The 16,821-nt window shown below is 53.4% G+C and overlaps 1 protein-coding gene across 11 annotated transcripts in view, besides 3 other annotated features; it reads left to right on the forward strand.

Annotated features, from left to right (window-relative positions):
• Window positions 1–16,821, forward strand: part of CMIP (c-Maf inducing protein) — a 266,955-nt gene that overhangs the window by 239,365 nt on the left and 10,769 nt on the right. For all 11 annotated transcript variants that reach the window (XM_047434717.1, NM_198390.3, XM_011523352.2 and 8 more), the window contains 5 exons: window positions 7,603–7,668; window positions 8,986–9,012; window positions 9,267–9,315; window positions 12,388–12,495; window positions 15,513–15,629. In XM_047434717.1, the coding sequence (XP_047290673.1) occupies window positions 7,603–7,668; window positions 8,986–9,012; window positions 9,267–9,315; window positions 12,388–12,495; window positions 15,513–15,629 (367 nt within the window). The remainder of the gene's footprint in view (window positions 1–7,602; window positions 7,669–8,985; window positions 9,013–9,266; window positions 9,316–12,387; window positions 12,496–15,512; window positions 15,630–16,821) is intronic.
• Window positions 1,572–2,311: an enhancer, noted in NCBI's record as "H3K4me1 hESC enhancer chr16:81719349-81720088 (GRCh37/hg19 assembly coordinates)". NCBI's record gives its function as "activates a minimal SCP1, AML or CMV promoter by ChIP-STARR-seq in primed H9 embryonic stem cells {active_cell/tissue: H9 hESC(primed)}" and the evidence as "EXISTENCE:reporter gene assay evidence [ECO:0000049][PMID:30033119]".
• Window positions 2,312–3,049: an enhancer, noted in NCBI's record as "H3K4me1 hESC enhancer chr16:81720089-81720826 (GRCh37/hg19 assembly coordinates)". NCBI's record gives its function as "activates a minimal SCP1, AML or CMV promoter by ChIP-STARR-seq in naive H9 embryonic stem cells {active_cell/tissue: H9 hESC(naive)}" and the evidence as "EXISTENCE:reporter gene assay evidence [ECO:0000049][PMID:30033119]".
• Window positions 6,928–7,567: an enhancer, noted in NCBI's record as "H3K27ac-H3K4me1 hESC enhancer chr16:81724705-81725344 (GRCh37/hg19 assembly coordinates)". NCBI's record gives its function as "activates a minimal SCP1, AML or CMV promoter by ChIP-STARR-seq in naive H9 embryonic stem cells {active_cell/tissue: H9 hESC(naive)}" and the evidence as "EXISTENCE:reporter gene assay evidence [ECO:0000049][PMID:30033119]".

Consider the following 16,821-nt stretch of genomic DNA (forward strand, 5'->3'; position numbering starts at 1 on the left):
TGATGGGATGACCGCACAGGTGGAGAGAAAGGGAATTTTCCTGAGGTCCTCCGGCCTCGCGGGTAACAGCCACTGTTTCTCAGCCTGGGTTCAAATCCCCGAGCTAGCTGGTTTGCCTTTCAAGGGAGCAGATGTTTCTGGATGTTGCATAGCAGGAGCAAAGTGGTCTGAATGTGCCCCCACAGGGGCCTTCTCATGCCCCGTGCCTTCCCAAGCATCAGGCCACCGTGAGGCCGCCACGTTCTGCCCGTGACTTGCAGGAGATTCTGTGAGTCAGGGAAAGCAGCGAGGCTGGCAGGAAGCGTCCTGTCCACAGGGCAGCACAGGGCTCTGGTTGAGGTGGCATCTTCTGAACTGGGTTAAAATCCCAGCTGAGCTGCGTGAGGTGGGAGACCCGGGCTTTGCACTCACAAAGCCTTGTTCAGTCCCAACATGTCCCCCATTAGCTCTGTGACCTTTGACAAGTGTCTGAACCTCTCTGGACCTCCGTTTCTCATCTGTGAAATGGGGGTTCTAAGGCCCTCTTCATGGGAGGGTTAAATGTGCAGGTGCCTAATGCCTGAGGCATGTTGGGGTCAGCAGGATGCATCAGGCACCTGCCTGCTTGTCCGTCCCCTCCGTCCAAGCTGGGAAGGGCCCAGCCTTCTTTTCTCCTTCCTAGGTGGGCAGTCAGGTCGCTCACACCCTGCCTGGTGCCTGTCCTCCCACCCCAGGCCAGCCTTGGCCAAATGGGAGACTGCCCCAGTGGCCAGAGGCATCCCATCCTAGGATAACAGGCCCGCCCAGAGCCAGGGCAGTCCCGAGGCGGGGACTCTGCTGGCCACTGGGTCCTGTGCCGAGGCCCGTCACAGAGAGGCCCATGCACAAGAGGGTTCCTCATTCCCTTCTTCGTGGGCCTGCCAGTCTGGGGACACCCAGCCTCACCTCCCCCACAACCTCTGTCCAGCGCCCCCCATTCATCCACCAACCTGGTCCGACTGGGGTCACAGACTTCCAAGCTGGTCTGGGCCGAGGCAAGGAAGTCCACTTGCCCTCTCCCTCCTTCCCATGCACCCCTCTCGGTCTTGTGGGAGCTGCCAGGAAGCGGAGCCCCAGGCTGGGAGACCGAGAGGAGGAGGCTTCTGTCCAGACCCCGCCTCAGACAGGCCACAGTCTCCCACTGGACTGAGCACCTGGGAGTACAGGCCACGCTCACGGTTCACAGAACAGGCTCAGGAGTAACAAGTGACCATGGGCCTGCTGCTGGGGCTCATAGTCCCCCGTGGGGACCCTGATTCCTCTGATTGTGGGTGATTTCAAATCTCCTTAGAGTTCTGCATTTCATGACATTTCTGCATGGAATATGCTTTATTTTTAAAGTAAAAAAAAACCTAAGTGCTCCCCTCCCTTTCATTTTTTGAGATACTCTGTCACCGAGGCTGGAGTATAGTGCCGCAGTTACAGGTCACTGCAGCCTCGAACTGCCAGGCTCAAAGAATCCTCCCACCTCAGACTCCCAAGTAGCTGGGACTACAGGTGCACACCACCTGCCTGGCTTACTTTTTTTTTTTTTTTTTAACTTTTTTTTTCTTTTTAGAGATGGGATCTCTTTATGTTGCCCAAGCCAGTCTCGAACTCCTGGCCTCAAGCAATCCTCCCGCCTCAGCCTCCCAAAGTGCTGGGATTACAGGCGTGAGCCACCATGTGCCCACCAGTGTCCTTGTGATATAGGGAGATCGTCTTCCTTCTCAGGTGTGAGCCGGGCCACCCTCCTTGTGAGACATGGTTATTGAGAGGGTGGAGCACAGACACTGGGGCCAGGCTCACAGGTTCAGATCCCAGCTCTCACCAGCTGTGTGGCCTGGGGCCAGGGCAGCCCATCACTGTGTCTCCATTTTCCTGCCTATAAAATGGGGGTGCCAAGAGCACCCGCCCAGCCAAGTTGCTGGGAGAGTTGCATGGGCTGACGCATGGGAGCCCTTGGAGAGCACCTGGCACGCAGCAGGCGCTGCAGACGAGGTTTGCTGTCAACTGCATTTCCATTTTCTGGAAACCATGAGTCAGGGACAGGTGGGAGGAAAGGAGGAAGGTGATTCTTCTGGAGGGAAGACAAGCTAGCTGCAAAAACAGATGACCCCTCAGAAGGGAGCATGTGAATACGGGGGCATAAAGGGGTCTCCATGTCCTGACATGCACACGACAGGCCTCAGGCTCCTGCAGCTCTGAGAACCCCAGGCTGCACCTGGGCCTTCCGCACTCAAGCACTGCAGTCCAGAGGACCTGCTGTCAGTCCTCATCTGCCTCCCAGGCGTGGAGTTCAGCTTCCTCACCGGCACCCTCTGCCCTCACATACCGCTCTGGAGATTAAGTGAGCAAGTCGGGTAGGCAGTGAGTAAGCGGTCGCTGGCATCACTGTCAGGACTTATCTCAGGCAACAGGCTTTCCTGGTCATTCTTTTCTCCGCGTCTGGCATCGGAGCCTTTCCTCAGAAGCTTCCAGGGTATGATTGGGGTTCTGAAGGCTGCCACTCTATCGTGGGCTTATTTGGAGGAAGGTGGGGCAGGAAAAGCCCTCACTCAGGGGTTATCTAAACCGCCTGTTGTCGATGGGAGTGAACATTTGTACTTGGTGAAAAAAACATCTCCTCCCGTTTCTATGTAAGGCACAGTTAGACACACAGCACGCAAACCGATACACAGTGTATCTGTGGTGAGTCGTATGTGGGTAGGGGTCCCGGGACCACCCCTCTGCCCAGCCCGGGTCTGAGCACCCCCTGGCCTCTCCCGTGGGTGGTGCCCAGGTGTCAGCGGGGCATCTCTCTGCAGCGCCTCCCCAACACAGACCACTGGACAAGGGTTCAGATCCCACCTCCTGCCCCAGTGCAAGCCAGGATCGAAGTCAGCATCCCACTCGATCTTGGCACCTGGTGGCACTTGCTAGTCCCCCAGATGGAGACTCAACATCCCTTCTGCTCTGAAGCCGGTCACAGGCCCCAGGCTCTGTCATTGGCCCGGTCCCAGTGTGCACTGGGCCTTGTGTTCAGCAGTCCCCTCCCAAGCACCAGCCATCCACCCAGCCCGGGGCCCAGCATGGGGGATGCAGAGATGAGACCTGGGCCCCTCCTGGGGTGGTCCGAGGCAAGATGGTCAGAAGCTGGGGAACACCAGGGACAGCTCTGTGATTCGGATGGGGACTGCTCCAGTGGCCACCCCTCACTTTATGTGTCACGGTTTTAAGCTCTGGGCCCTCAGAGGTGCCCAGGCCTGGCTTAGGCGAGAACTGACTACCTCTGGGTTTGTTTTTCCGCGGAGTCCCTATAGCCAGAGAGATCCGGAACCCAGGTGGGGGAACTGGTTATAAACACAGTGCAGGTGCTGGGGCCGAGAGGACGGGTCATGGTCTTTGAAGCACCTGAGGTCAGATCTCAGCCACTTGCTGGTGACTTGTGGGAAATCACAAACAGCTCTGAGCCTCATTTTCCTCGTCTGTAAAATGGGGGTTGTCATGACTGCAGTCTCTGGGGGCCGTGTGTGAGTGCTCTGCTGTGTGATACAAGCCCATCTGTACTCAGACTGAGACGCCGGCGAGTTCTCTGGACGCTCCCAGCTTTTGGGGGCAAGAGTTGGCCAAAAAACTCCCTCTTTATGAAGCTGTGCTGGTAGGTGGTCGGGAAGCAGCCTGTTGGGCCTCAGGAAACTCCCGAAGCTATTGCTTCCCTGCTGTGGCCTGGCTGTATCACAGCCCTGTGGTCACGGTCAGTGAATTGCCATACTGCTCCTTGTCCGTAATTTGGACTCAGCACACAGGGTCCTCTGGGTAGATCCCATGAGCGAACACAAGCAGTGCCCTTACTTCAAGCCCCGGTGCGCAGGCAGCGCAGAGCGAATTGCATCTGCGTTATCAGCAGTGCTAATACTGTTCGGTTGTGGGACAGTGGTCTTCCCAGGGTCGGATGGGGGTGACACCCTGGTGCCTGGCTTCACCACACACCATGGTGTGATAGAGCCTGAAATACCTGGTTCTGAGTCCAGCTTTACCCCTTCCTAGGCTGTGTAGATGACTCGGAGTGGGTAACTGACCTCTCCCGCTGTCTCTGCACACAGGAAGGAGGCTCTTTCATGAAAGGGTTAAGTGAAGTCAGGTGAACAGCACGGTGCTTCCCGCAGCTGCTCTCACTGAGGTTTAGCCCTCCTTCCTTACCCAGGCAGGCGTTGGCTTTTGCTAAGATCACAGCCGTGGCCTTTCAGGGCTGGTGAGAGCCAAGGCTCTGCTGTCACAGAAGCCTGGATTTGACTCCTCATATGCCACAGCTGTGTGACCTTAAACCTCTGAGCCTCCAGTTCGTCATCTGTTAAGTGGGGTTAGTCACACTGACTTTATTGTGCTCTTGTAAAGAGTAAATGAACTAAGGTATAGCCCTTAGCATCCTGCAGTGTGTGTGGAAAGTCTCCGTGACATCGGAGCTGCTGTTGTTATTGTCATTGTTATTACCGTCATTAGCATCAACTCTGTTTTTTTTTAATATACTTTAAGTTCTAGGGTACATGTGCACAATGTGCAGGTTTGTTACATATGTATACATGTACCATGTTGATGTGCTGCACCCATTAACTCATCATTTACATTAGATATATCTCCTAATGCTATCCCTCCCTCCTCCCCCAACCCCACAACAGGCCCCGGTGTGTGATGTTCCCCACCCCGTGGCCAAGTGTTCTCATTTTTCAGTTCCCACCTATGAGTGAGAACATGCGGTGTTCGTTTTCTGTCCTTGCGATAGTTTGCTCAGAATGATGGTTTCCAGCTTCATCCATGTCCCTACAGAGGACATGAACTCATCCTTTTTTATGGCTGCATAGTATTCCATGGTGTATATGTGCCACATCTTCTTAATCCAGTCTGTCATTGATGGACATTTTGGTTGGTTCCAAGTCTTTGCTATTGTGAATAGTGCTGCAATCAATATACATGTGCATGTGTCTTTATAGCAGCGTGATTTATAATCCTTTGGGTATATACCCAGTAATGGGATGGCTGGGTCAAATGGTATTTCTAGTTCTAGATCCTCAAGGCATCTCCACACTGTCTTCCACAATGGTTGAACTAGTTTACAGTCCCACCAACAGTGTAAAAGTGTTCCTATTTCTCCACATCCTCTCCAGCACCTGTTGTTTCCTGACTTTTTAATGATCGCCATTCTAACTGGTGTGAGATGGTATCTCATTGTGGTTTTCATTTGCATTTCTCTGATGGCCAGTGATGATGAGCATTTTTTCATGTGTCTGTTGGCTGCATAAATGTCTTCTTTTGAGAAGTGTCTGTTCATATCCTTCGCCCACTTTTTGATGGGGTTGATTTTTTCTTGTAAATTTGTTTAAGTTCTTTGTAGATTCTGGATATTAGCCCTTTGTCAGATGGGTAGATTGTAAAAATTTTCTCCCATTCTGTAGGTTTCCTTTTCACTCTGATGGTGGTTTCTTTTGCTGTGCAGAAGCTCTTTAGTTTAATTAGATCCCATTTGTCAATTTTGGCTTTTGTTGCCATTGCTTTTGGTATTTTAGTCATGAAGTCCTTGCCCATGTTTATGTCCTGAAAGGTATTGCCTAGGTTTTCTTCTAGGGCTATTATGGTTTTAGGTCTAACATTTAAGTCTTTAATCCATCTTGAATTAATTTTTGCATAAGGTGTAAGGAAGGGATCCAGTTTCAGCTTTCTACATATGGCTAGCCAGTTTTCCCAGCACCATTTATCAAATAGGGAATCCTTTCCCCATTTCTTGTTTTTATCAGGTTTGTCAAAGATCAGGTGGTTGTAGATGTGTGGTATTATTTCTGAGGGCCCTGTTCTGTTCCATTGGTCTGTATCTCTGTTTTGGTACCAGTACCATGCTGTTTTGGTTACTGTAGCCTTGTAGTAGAGTTTGAAGTCAGGTAGCGTGATGCCTCTAGCTTTGTTCTTTTGGCTTAGGATTGTCTTGGCAATGTGGGCTCTTTTTTGGTTCCATATGAACTTTAAAGTAGTTTTTTCCAATTCTGTGAAGAAAGTCATTGGTAGGTTGATGGGGATGGCATTGAATCTATAAATTACCTTGGGCAGTATGGCCATTTTCACGATATTGATTCTTCCTATCCATGAGCATGGAATGTTCTTCCATTTCTTTGTGTCCTCTTTTATTTCATTGAGCAGTGGTTTGTAGTTCTCCTTGAAGAGGTCCTTCACTTCCCTTGTAAGTTGGATTCCTGGGTATTTAGCATCAACTCTTAGAAAAGAAGAAAAGCTGTTGTCTGAAAGCAAAAATAGAAGTATCCACCAAGGCCAGGCATGGTGCCTCACACCTGTAATCCTAGCACTTTGAGTTATTTATTTTTTTGAGTCTGAGTCTCGCTCTGTTGTCCAGGCTAGAGTGCAGTGGGGTGATCTCAGCTCACTGCGGCCTCCGCCTCCCAGGTTCTAGCAATTATCCTGCCTCAGCCTCCTGAGCAGCTGGGATTACAGGCGTGAGCCACCACACCTGGCCTATCCCAGCACTTTGGGAGGCTGAGGCAGGCAGATCACCTGAGGCCAGGAGTTCAAGACCAGCATGGCCAACATGGCAAAACCCCATCCCTACTAGAAATACAAAAAATTAGCTGGGCATAGTGGCGCACGCCTATAATCCCAGCTGCTCGGAAGGCTGAGGCACGAGAATCACTTGAACCCAGGAGGTGGAGGTTGCAGTGAGCTGAGATCGTGCCATTGCACTCCAGCCTGGGCAACAGAGTAGGACTGTGTCTCAAATAATAATAATAAATTTTAGAAAAAGAAAAAAAAGGGATCCAACAAATCAGGAGGTTTGACCCAAACTACAAACAAACAGCTTAGAATGTTTGTTGTTTATGATTCTGTCTATAGAATTTTCCCTCAGTTCTGATCACAGAAAGGTGAGAATGGCCCCAGGGTCCCAGCCTAAGCCCCCTACATTAGTTTGCTAGGACTGCTATAAAGTACCATCAACCTCATAGCTTACTCAACAAACATGTATTTCTCTCAGTTCGGGAAGGCACAACCCTGAAATCAAGGTGTGGGCAGGGCTGGTTTCTCTGGAGGCCTCTCTCCTGGCTTGCAGATGGCTGCCTTCTCGCTGAGTCCTGGCTGGTCTTTGCTCTGCGTGTCCGTGTTTCCTCTTCTTCTAAGGACATCCGTCTACAGCCTCATTGTAACCTAATCACCTCTTTAAAGGTTGTGTCTCCCAGTACAGTCACATTCTGAAGTACTGGGGTGCAGAGCTTCAGTATATGAATGGGGGGCAAAGTTCAGCCTAAAACACCCCCTAATGGTCCCAAAGAGGGCATGAACAATGATCACGTAGCCTTGGTTCAAAGGGCATTGTGAAGTCTGGGGAATAGACAGCTCACCCCCTCGGGTGCCATGAGGAAGTCTCTGCACAGGCCCAGTTGTGAGTCCTTGAGGCCACGCTGAGAACATTGACTTGCTCATCCTGGAGGTGGAAGTGGGTGGAGAAGTCAGTGCCACTGACTACCTGCCAGGCTCTCACCCCATCTTTTGGCCCATCTGGGACCAAAAACAGTGCCATAAACCTTCCTTGTCCCAACCAAAGCTGACTGTCACCCTCTCTCATTCTAGGTCAGACTATGATGACTGGAGACCGTCTCTGGCCAGTTTGCTTCAACCCATTCCATTCCCCAAAGAGTAAGTCCCGTGTGCATCCCCGGAGCCCTCCCACCTGTGAGACAAACCTCAGTTGTCCACCAAGGCCTTAGTGGGGGGCCAGTCATGTTATGGGGAAGCGAAGTCACAGCGGGAAGACCCTGGAGACGTCGGTACCAGCTCAGCCACGTCCTCAGCTGTGGGACCCCTGGGGAGGCACATCTTCCCTCAGAAAAATGGGGAACTCAGGAGAACAGGGACATTGTAGGAGCTGCTTGACTGCATTGTCACAAGGATTCATGAGCTAAGAATGCAAACAGAGCCCTCCCCATGGCTCCTGGCAGGCCGTGCAGTTATCGTCTTTTATTATGCACCAGATGGGAACCGTAATACCTGCCGCTCCTCTTCCGAGGGCGATAGTAAGAATCAAAAGATAATGCGCGTAGCATTGCTCGCTGTGCCGTACTGAGATGCTGGAAGCGCTCTAATTACGCCCGGTACAACGCTCAGCTCAGGCTCTGCAGCAAACCTGGCCAGAAACAGACCCTCTGCCTCTCTCTTGCCGGCCCCTAGCACCATATTGAATTGATCACTGGAAACTAGAGAGAACGCTGTCTGGTGGATAATGGCCTGAAGAGAAGGCTTTGTCAAAATAACCAGGCCCTGAAATGCCTCCAGGTCTCTTTCAAGAGGTTGGAAGGAGCAAGCCTCGGGAGGCAGCTGGGGCTCTCGAAGGAGCCGATTACCAAGCGTGTTTAGGAAATGCTGCCTCTGTAAGGGCACATTACACGCAGTAATTGCCCCATGTGCTGGCCTGGCCAGTCCCCGAGGGTCCCCAGTACTTGAGGCCGGAGAAATCCACCTCCTAAGAGGCGCTCAGTCTCAGCAGAGTCGTGACGTCATTGGCCTCAGTCCCCGTCCCCATAGGCCTGGGCGCTCTTGGCTGTGGCAACTGTCTTAGAAGAATGGTCCCCCATGGCCGCTGATGTGTGCAGTAATGAGTGCCGCCCGCCTTAATCGTGGAACAATTAATGAACACACCTGGGTCTCCGGAGCCCACATGCACCCACACATGCTCAGGCAGCAGCTTAGCCCCTCTTATTCACAGGTGTGGGCACAGGGAACTTTCGGGAATGGGGGGCCCAGTGTGTTCATGTTGCTCTGATCTGCCGCCTCCTCAAAGAAGGCCTTTGTTTTGGAGCTTTGAGTGGGGACAAAATGTTGGCATTTCACTCACATTCCTCTTCATTCTTTGAATCAGACATAAAGTCTAGACGTCCCCAGAGGTTAATCTTGGGAACATTGTGCTGTTTCCGACGCTTCTGTTAACCGCCGTGTTTTCCCCTGTTTTTGTTGCAGAGCTCTCGCACATGAGAAGTTCACCAAGTGAGTGTCTGGGCACCGCCCTCATTCCATTCTGGCACGCACGGCCTCTGTCCTGAGGTCTTCCCTCCGTGGCCCATGCATTCTGGGAGGCAGTGGTGGCTCCTCTTGGCAGTTCTCTTGAGACACGTGTCCCTGATCCACCGCCTTGCCCAGCTCCCTGGCCCGTTCTTCCTTGACACCATCCCCTCCCCTTCCCACACCTCCCACTCAGTTCCAGACCCCGGCAGTAACTCCGGCCGCCTCGTCTCTTCCAGGGAACTGAAGTACGTGATTCAGAGGTTCGCCGAAGACCCCAGGCAAGAGGTGAGGCCTTTGTTTCTGCATCTCAGGCCGGCTGTCTGGGGATGGCAGGATGCACGAGGGCCCCTTAGAGGCCTTCTGAAGCTTGTCACCAACAGGCATTCAGAACAGCTTTCAGAGACCCATTGCCTGTGTATAAACACATCCCCGCCTGGTGCAGAGCCCAGCCTGTGATGTCAGTGTTTTACTGTAAACGCCGGCTCACCGGGGGTGGTTTTCCACTGGCTGGTGGTTTCTGCCCGCAGCCGAGGCCTTGATTTCGGGCTGGGCTGGCATGGCAGCTCTCAACCAGCTCTGAGGCAGCATTTTGATCCTGTCTGGTTCTGCTATTATGTGAATCACTGGGCAGAGCAAGGAATCTGAGCTGGGATTCAGAGCTGGGTTTTTATTTCCCGGTCATGGTGGCCAAGGGTTTCCCTGAAGGGCTGCTGTGTCCCTCACCAAAGCTGGGCTTCCAGGGAGAGGGCAGCCTTCCACCTTCTGCCCCTGAGCCTGTGCACATGGGCAGGGACCTAGGCAGGCAAGGAAGCCAGCCTGTAGCCCTGGGCCCGCATCATCTGATAGTAACAGCACCAGCAGCTGTCTTTTAGGAGGTGCTGTGCCCCGGGTCACACACATTCCTTTTCTCATGCCTCACAGCATCCCTGTGAGTGTCTTCTATAGTATTCCCAGTGTTGCGCGGCTGGTCCACGACTGAGGCAAGATTCGAGCCTGGTGCTGATAACCATCTCACTGCACTGTGTGCTGTGCTCTGAGATGCTCACAGCCTGCTTCTCTGTGTGCATGAGTTCTGGGTGTGGTAGCGCCCTAACTCCCAGTTGAGGACAGACCTAGACTCGTGCTCCCGGCAGAACAGGGGGAAGGATGAGCAGAGGACAGGGGGAGTTCCTCTCCATAGAGCCATCCCCAGGAGGCTTCCTGGAGAAGGTGGTACTGAACTGGCTGGACTTAGCTAAATGGGTCAAACTGGACCTTAGTCTGGAGGGTGGAGCATGGTGTTTGAGAAGGAATCTGAGGACACATGGACACCAAGGTCTTGCCATGTCCAACCATGGCAGGTCTCTCTGACTCAGAACCCACAGTTTATCAGGCTGTAATTCCAGAAGTTCTAGAGTACTTGTTCTCAAACTATATTACCTGAGGAGCTTGTTCAAAAGGCAGACCCCCCTGCCGCCGCATCCCTTCCCGGTTCCAGCTCACGGGGCCTGGGTGGAGCCAAGCATATGCGTTTTGATGCGTTTTGAACAAGCATCCCAAGTGGTTCTGAGGGGCTGGTCTCCAGGCCACACTGAAAAACCGAGTTCTGGAGGGATCTTGAAGACTCTAGTTCCAAAACACCGCAATTCTAAACACCGATTTCCCTAAGTGTTCCTCAGGCATGGAGGGAAAAAGGAGAAACGGTGGATATGGTGCTTTTAAATGTCAGGGACCAGTGAGTGTCTCCATTTTTCTTAAACTTAAGTCTTTCCTTGCCACCTGTGAAGACAGCGTCTCAGAATTCTCCTGGGAACTGAGCCTTAATTCAAACCCAGCCTTTGACGCTGGGAGAACAAAAGTGGCATCAGCTGCTTCTCAGAGTAGAGAGGCAGGGCCAGCTGCTGGGAGGGTAATTCTCAAACCAGGGAAATGTGCATGAGGCCCCGAGTGACCTGCCGGTCTGGAAGGAGCCAGCTCCCCTGGCCAAGGTCCCACACCCAGGCCCTTGTTCTCCTGTTTGCCTCTTTCTTTTCTCTGCTGATTCTCTCTCCCTTTTCCTCCTCACTCTTCTTTCTCCCTTCCCTTCTACCTTCTCCTTCCTAAATGAAGCCAAAGTTGTTTCCTTTAAAATTATTTGCTATATTTGTTGAATAGCATCTCAACACTCCTAAGTCCTTATTGCTTTGAAGTCGATAAGGGAACCCTTGATATTCTTCCAGCTCAGAGGGAAAAATAAAAGCCACTGCCTTTGTTTTCTGTGTGCTCGTGTGTGGGTTGTGATCAGTTTAATATCTGTGGGTAACAGATTCTTGGCAGCCAATCGTCCTTTCCTAAAGGAAATGATGAGGAACTTCTCTCAGCTTTCTTCGGAGGACAGGAGGAGGTGGGGAAAAGTCCTTTGTGTTTCCTGCACGCCCTTGCTCTCATGCTCTGTCTCTCTCCCTCACTCTCCCCGCTCTCCATCCTCTCCCTCCTTCCCTCTCTCTCTGTGTAATCACAGCAGGGGCCAGAGTGGATGTGGAATTCCTCCCATACACACACACACGTGTGCTCACATGCACAAACAGGCCCATCCACACAGACACACAGCTCTGGGAAGGAATGTGAGAGCTGTGCTTTTGGCACTGAAATTGCCCCCAGCCACGGACAGATCCTTCAGTGGAGGGGGACAAAGACTCAGGGAAGGAAGTGGGGATGAGACCTAACAAGAGAGGGTGGCAGAGTCCCAAAGAGGGGGAGAGAGAGAGAGAGAGAGAGATTAGCAGGGCAGATACCTGGAGGGGAGGATGGTGCCTGCACAAGTCAAGAAAGGGAGGGCAGAAGGCACACACCCAAGAGGGAGAGTCAGTGCTGGGGGCAGCAGAACCCCAGAGAGGCAGCAGGGAGAGGTTTCTAGAGAAAGAGGGCAGAGAGCACGGGAGAGGAGTTAGAAACACAGAGAGAGGAGGACAGAGAACCAAACAGAGAACGGAGACCCAGGAGATGGCCCCACCCAGAGGAAGGCATAGCAGAAGGAGAAAGGGGGCAGGAGAAAGGGAAAAGGGGCTGATTGTGGGCGGTTGCTCTGGGCATCTCTACCTGCTGCAGCCACAGGCCCGCTTCATTCAGATCAGCCAATCAAGCCGGGGCCTGCCCTCCCTCCTGTGCAGCTGACAGCCAGTAGCCAGAGTCCCCTGGGGTGTGGGGGCCACGGTATTTCCCGAAAGACCTTTCATGGCATTTGGTGGAAGGCTGGGGGTTGCTGGAGGAAACAAAGTTAAGCGGGTTTCTTGACTGCAGGACTTGCCTGAGCCTTTCCCATTCATGTGTGCAGATCATGGTCGCCCTTGTCACCGGGGCTGCATGCAGCTCACACTTGTGTCTTCCCTTGTCTGGCAGGTCCACTCATGCCTGCTGAGCGTGCGGGCCGGCAAAGATGGCTGGTTCCAGCTCTACAGCCCCGGAGGGGTGGCCTGCGACGATGACGGGGAGCTGTTCGCCAGCATGGTACGCAGTGGGACCCCAGTGGGGTGACTTCCAGGGGTCCCTGGGCTTGCCATGCCTGACTAGTAAAACAGCCGTCCCCCATCCCCTGGGGCCAGCCCCGGAGTTTCCCGGCTAACACAGTGCTGATCATGAAGGTGGTGGTGGTGGTGGTGGTGATGGTGACCGTGACTGTCACTTACTCATTTCTTATCTGAGGCTCCAAGCCAAGCACTTGGCTTTCCCAGTTGCACTCAGCTCTCACAGCACAGTGAGAAGACGACACATGTCATTGCCCCATTTTATACCCAAGGCAGCTAAAGCCTGGGCCGTTACTGCCTAAGGTCACACAGTTCATTGCCATGGTTATGTTCCTACAAGAAATTGAGTGCCCAACGGGACCAGGGATTCTGGAAGGCACTGCAGGTCCACCAGCTTGTTTAATCCTTACAAGGAGGTGTCGCGGTCAGGGGGATTGTTCCCACTATCATGAGGGGTCTGAGGTCACCAAACCAATAGCTGCATCCATGATAACTTTCTTTGTGCCCGGCACTGTATCCGGCACTTCATATGCACTATCCTTTTTTATCTGTACTGCATCCTTGTTGCTGAATTACACCTCTGTTGAAACAGAGGCCCACAGAGGTTCGGTGGCGTGCCTGGGGTCCCACAGGCCTTCTGTTTCCAAGCCCTTCCTTGGCCAGGCACACATGGCTTCTTCCAGGAGTAAAGGGCCACAGACTCTTCCTCCCCCAGGGCAGATGCTGCACCCTAGTGGCCAGCAGCCTCGCCGACTCCACTTGCTGAGAAAACCAGCTCCATTTACTGGTCACTGGTGCTCCCACACTCAAACTGGGCTTCCAGTCGCAGCTCTGCTGGGAGCTAGCTTGTTGACCTTGGGCTGGTAACTTGCCTCTGCCAGCTTCAGCCCCTCGTCCGGGAGCCTCGCATTGGCCTCTCGAGGTTACCGCAGCGATCGCATGCAACAGTAGATGCACGGCGCCCGGCGGGCCGGCACAGTCGCTGCTCGGAAATGACGCCGGTGGTGATTCTCCTCTCTGCTGGGTGGCTGGTTTGGCTGTCCACACTGAACTCAGCAGAGATGTTTGTGCAGCGATGACAAATTGAGGCGCTGCCCCTGGGAGCTTCTTGAAAAGGGCTTATTTTTAGGCCCTTTGCCTCATGCACTCCCTCGCCACTCCTCGCCGGCCACCCCAGGCCTCTCAGGGCCCTGCGCATCTAGGAACATGCCTGCCCCTGCCAGCCTGCACCACCTCTCTCGCGCTCTCGGTCACCTCTCGGGTTCTCCTCTGATGTCACAGCTTCACCATAGCAACGCTCAGCTGCGCCCCCCCGCCCCCGCCCCCACCCTACAATGTGAGGATTCGGTGCAAGAAAGCGCAGGGAGCTGGCGGCTTCCCAGCCCGAGAGATTGCATTTGTATGCCAGAGCTGTTCATGATGGAGCGGAAAAAATATACACAAGGAAGGAAGCAGGCAGCCGCTGGATGGAAGTGTGTTGTTGCCATGGAGATGCATGGCTTGGAAGCCGGCCCCTTGATGAGGCTGCTTTCTCCACCGCCAAGGGCATTTGCCATTGTGTGAAGTTGGAGGAAAGCCAATGGGGTGTCGAGGCCTCCCCCCAGCCCCGGTGACCGGGGACCCCTGCCCTTGGGCCCCCATCGCCCATGCACCAGAACAAAAGACCGCCCAACACATAACCCAAGAGGAAGCAGGATTTGCCAATTCTTGGATTCCTGGGGCGCAGGCAGTCTCCCAAAACACCCTTCCGAGCTCACAGCGGGCTTGGCAGAGGTGGCTGGGCTTCGTCACGTCCCCTACCCCATACATGTGCGAAGGCTGCCTAGAAGTTTCTACGTGGTTCCAGCGGTGCCAGGAATTCAAAGGATCAACTGTCAGCAGACTCCCGAGGGGAGCAGGGGAGGGGGCTTTTTTGTTTTTGGCAGTAAAATACACATCATATAAAAGTGTGCATCTGTAAGCACACCGTTCAGTCACACTGAAGACATTCATGTTGTAACACAACCATCACCACCGTTCATCTCCAGAACGTTCTTATCTTCCGAAACTGAAACTCAGCATCCATTACACACTGACTCCCCCTTCCTCCCGGCCTCAGTCCCTGGCAGCCACTTTTCCTTTCTGTCTCTGAATTTCCCTATCCAGGTACCTCATGTAAGTGGAGTCAGAGTCTCCTTCTGCTTAAAACTTCAACGTAATAAGTGTTTCAAACATCAGAACTTTTATAATGGCAGGAGATTACATATTTAGAGATTCTATTACAGATTCTTGAAAAAACTAGCAAGGGCCGGGCACAGTGGCTCACGCCTGTAATCCCAGCACTGTGGGAAGCCGAGTTGGGTGGACCACTTGAGTTCAGGAATTCAAGACCAGCCTGGCCAACATGGTGAACCCCATCTCTACTAAAAATAGAAATAAATTAGCCAGGTATGGTGGTGCATGCCTGTAATCCTAGCTTACTAGGGAGGCTGAGGTGGGAGGATTGCTTGAACCCAAGCGGCAGAGGTTGCAGTGAGCCAAGATCGCACCACTACACACTCCAGCCTGGACAATAGAGCGAGACTCCATCTCAAAAAAAATAAAAATAGCAAGGGCTACATTTGTTTAAATCAAGAGACCTTAAATTGCATTCTAGTCAGCTTTTATTGCATTTAGTATTATAGATTTATACAAAAGATACCCTTGCTGAGCTGGGGCTTATAGTTAAATCAGGTACTACTAAAAGGCAAAAGACAGAATGAAAAGAGGGATCATGAACGTGACTTTCGCGACTGGCTTATTCCACTCAACATAGTGTCCTCAGGGTTCATCTGGGTTAGATCGTGTGCCAGGGAGGGGTTTCTTGCATCCCCCTGGGGCCTGGTGATCCTAGAACACCTGGCTGTCTGGACAGCGTGTAGGCAGGTCTGTTCAACGGCTCTTGGGCTCACTTCCTGCCAGCACGCTGGAGGCTGGCACTGGGTGTCTCTGTCCCTTCACCTGGGCCTTCTTGCCTCACAGGTGCACATCCTCATGGGCTCCTGTTACAAGACCAAAAAATTCCTGCTCTCCCTGGCAGAAAACAAGCTGGGTCCCTGCATGCTCCTGGCACTGAGGGGGAACCAGACCATGGTGGAGGTAAGGAGCTGGTCGGGGTCCCTGGTGGGGTGGCTGGCTCCCCGTCCCTTGTCCGTGCCGATAGAGCATCTGCTGGGAGCCAGGAGCTGCTGCAGGCACGGGGGGCAGTGGGTGAGGCGTGCAGTCCCAGCCGTCCTGAGCTTAGTGGGAGCCTCGAGCCTTCATCATGCAGTGTATTTGTTTCTGTTGTGATCCAGCTGATCCATTGATCAGTGGGGTTGGGGACGCTTCTGTTCTGCTCATTTATTGCTGTGTAACAAACCACCTCTAAGTGAGGGCTTTAAAACAAGATCGTTCATTTCTTTTGCACATGGGCATTGGGGTACCTGGGCGCAGCTACGCACTTCTCACCTGGGGCCTCATCAGTCAGATGGGGCCAGGTTGGGTTAGCCCCAAGGCTTCTCGCATTGGCCTAAGAGGCCTCAGACAATGAGGGCTTTGGCGGCTGGGGCTCCCCAGCCGCACCCTTCACCTCGTGGCCTCCAGGTAGCCTGTCCACCTGCCAAGAACACACACACCCAGCCCCACAGGTCACCCCTCACCTGCTGCTGCTCCTCTCTCTCCCTGCACGCTCCAAAGTCCCCAGAAGCCTGAGACTCCCAGAGCAACTGTCCCAAAGTCCCCAGAAGCCTGAGACTCCCAGAGCAACTGTCCCAAGGGAACCAAGGCAGAAGCCATGTCACTTTTTAACTTAGCCTCCCTTGGAAGGCAGGCGGCATCACTTCTGCCACATCCTCCTGCTGGCAGTGAGTCACCGCGGCCGGCCCTCAGTCAAAGCCGTGGGAGCTAGACTTCACCCCTCAGTGGGAAGAGCATCGAAGAGTTGGCAGGCGCAGCAAAGCCATGGGAGCTCCCGTGGAAATGAGAGTTCGGGCAGATGTGAGCCCTGGGGAAGAGGCAGCGGGAAGGTGGGAGCTGAGCAGGCTGTGGGGACATCCCGGGCGGAGGCTTGCTGGAGGCCAGGGTGGCTGGAACACAGGGAGCCAAGGGGCAAGAGGTCTGGGATGTGGCTGGATGGGCATGAAGAGCCTTCTGGGTACCTAGAGGTGCTGGGAAGGAGTTTGGATTTAATCTTGGCTGTCCTGTGACAGGGATTCGGAGGCCATGGGGGAGGGCTGAGCAGGGAGACAGGAGACAGGCAAGAGGCGCTGTGAGAAGCGTGGGCTGAGTGACCTGCTCCTTGGTGAGTGAG

The sequence above is a fragment of the Homo sapiens genome, chromosome 16, assembly GCF_000001405.40.
Source record: "Homo sapiens chromosome 16, GRCh38.p14 Primary Assembly".
NCBI lineage: Eukaryota > Metazoa > Chordata > Mammalia > Primates > Hominidae > Homo > Homo sapiens.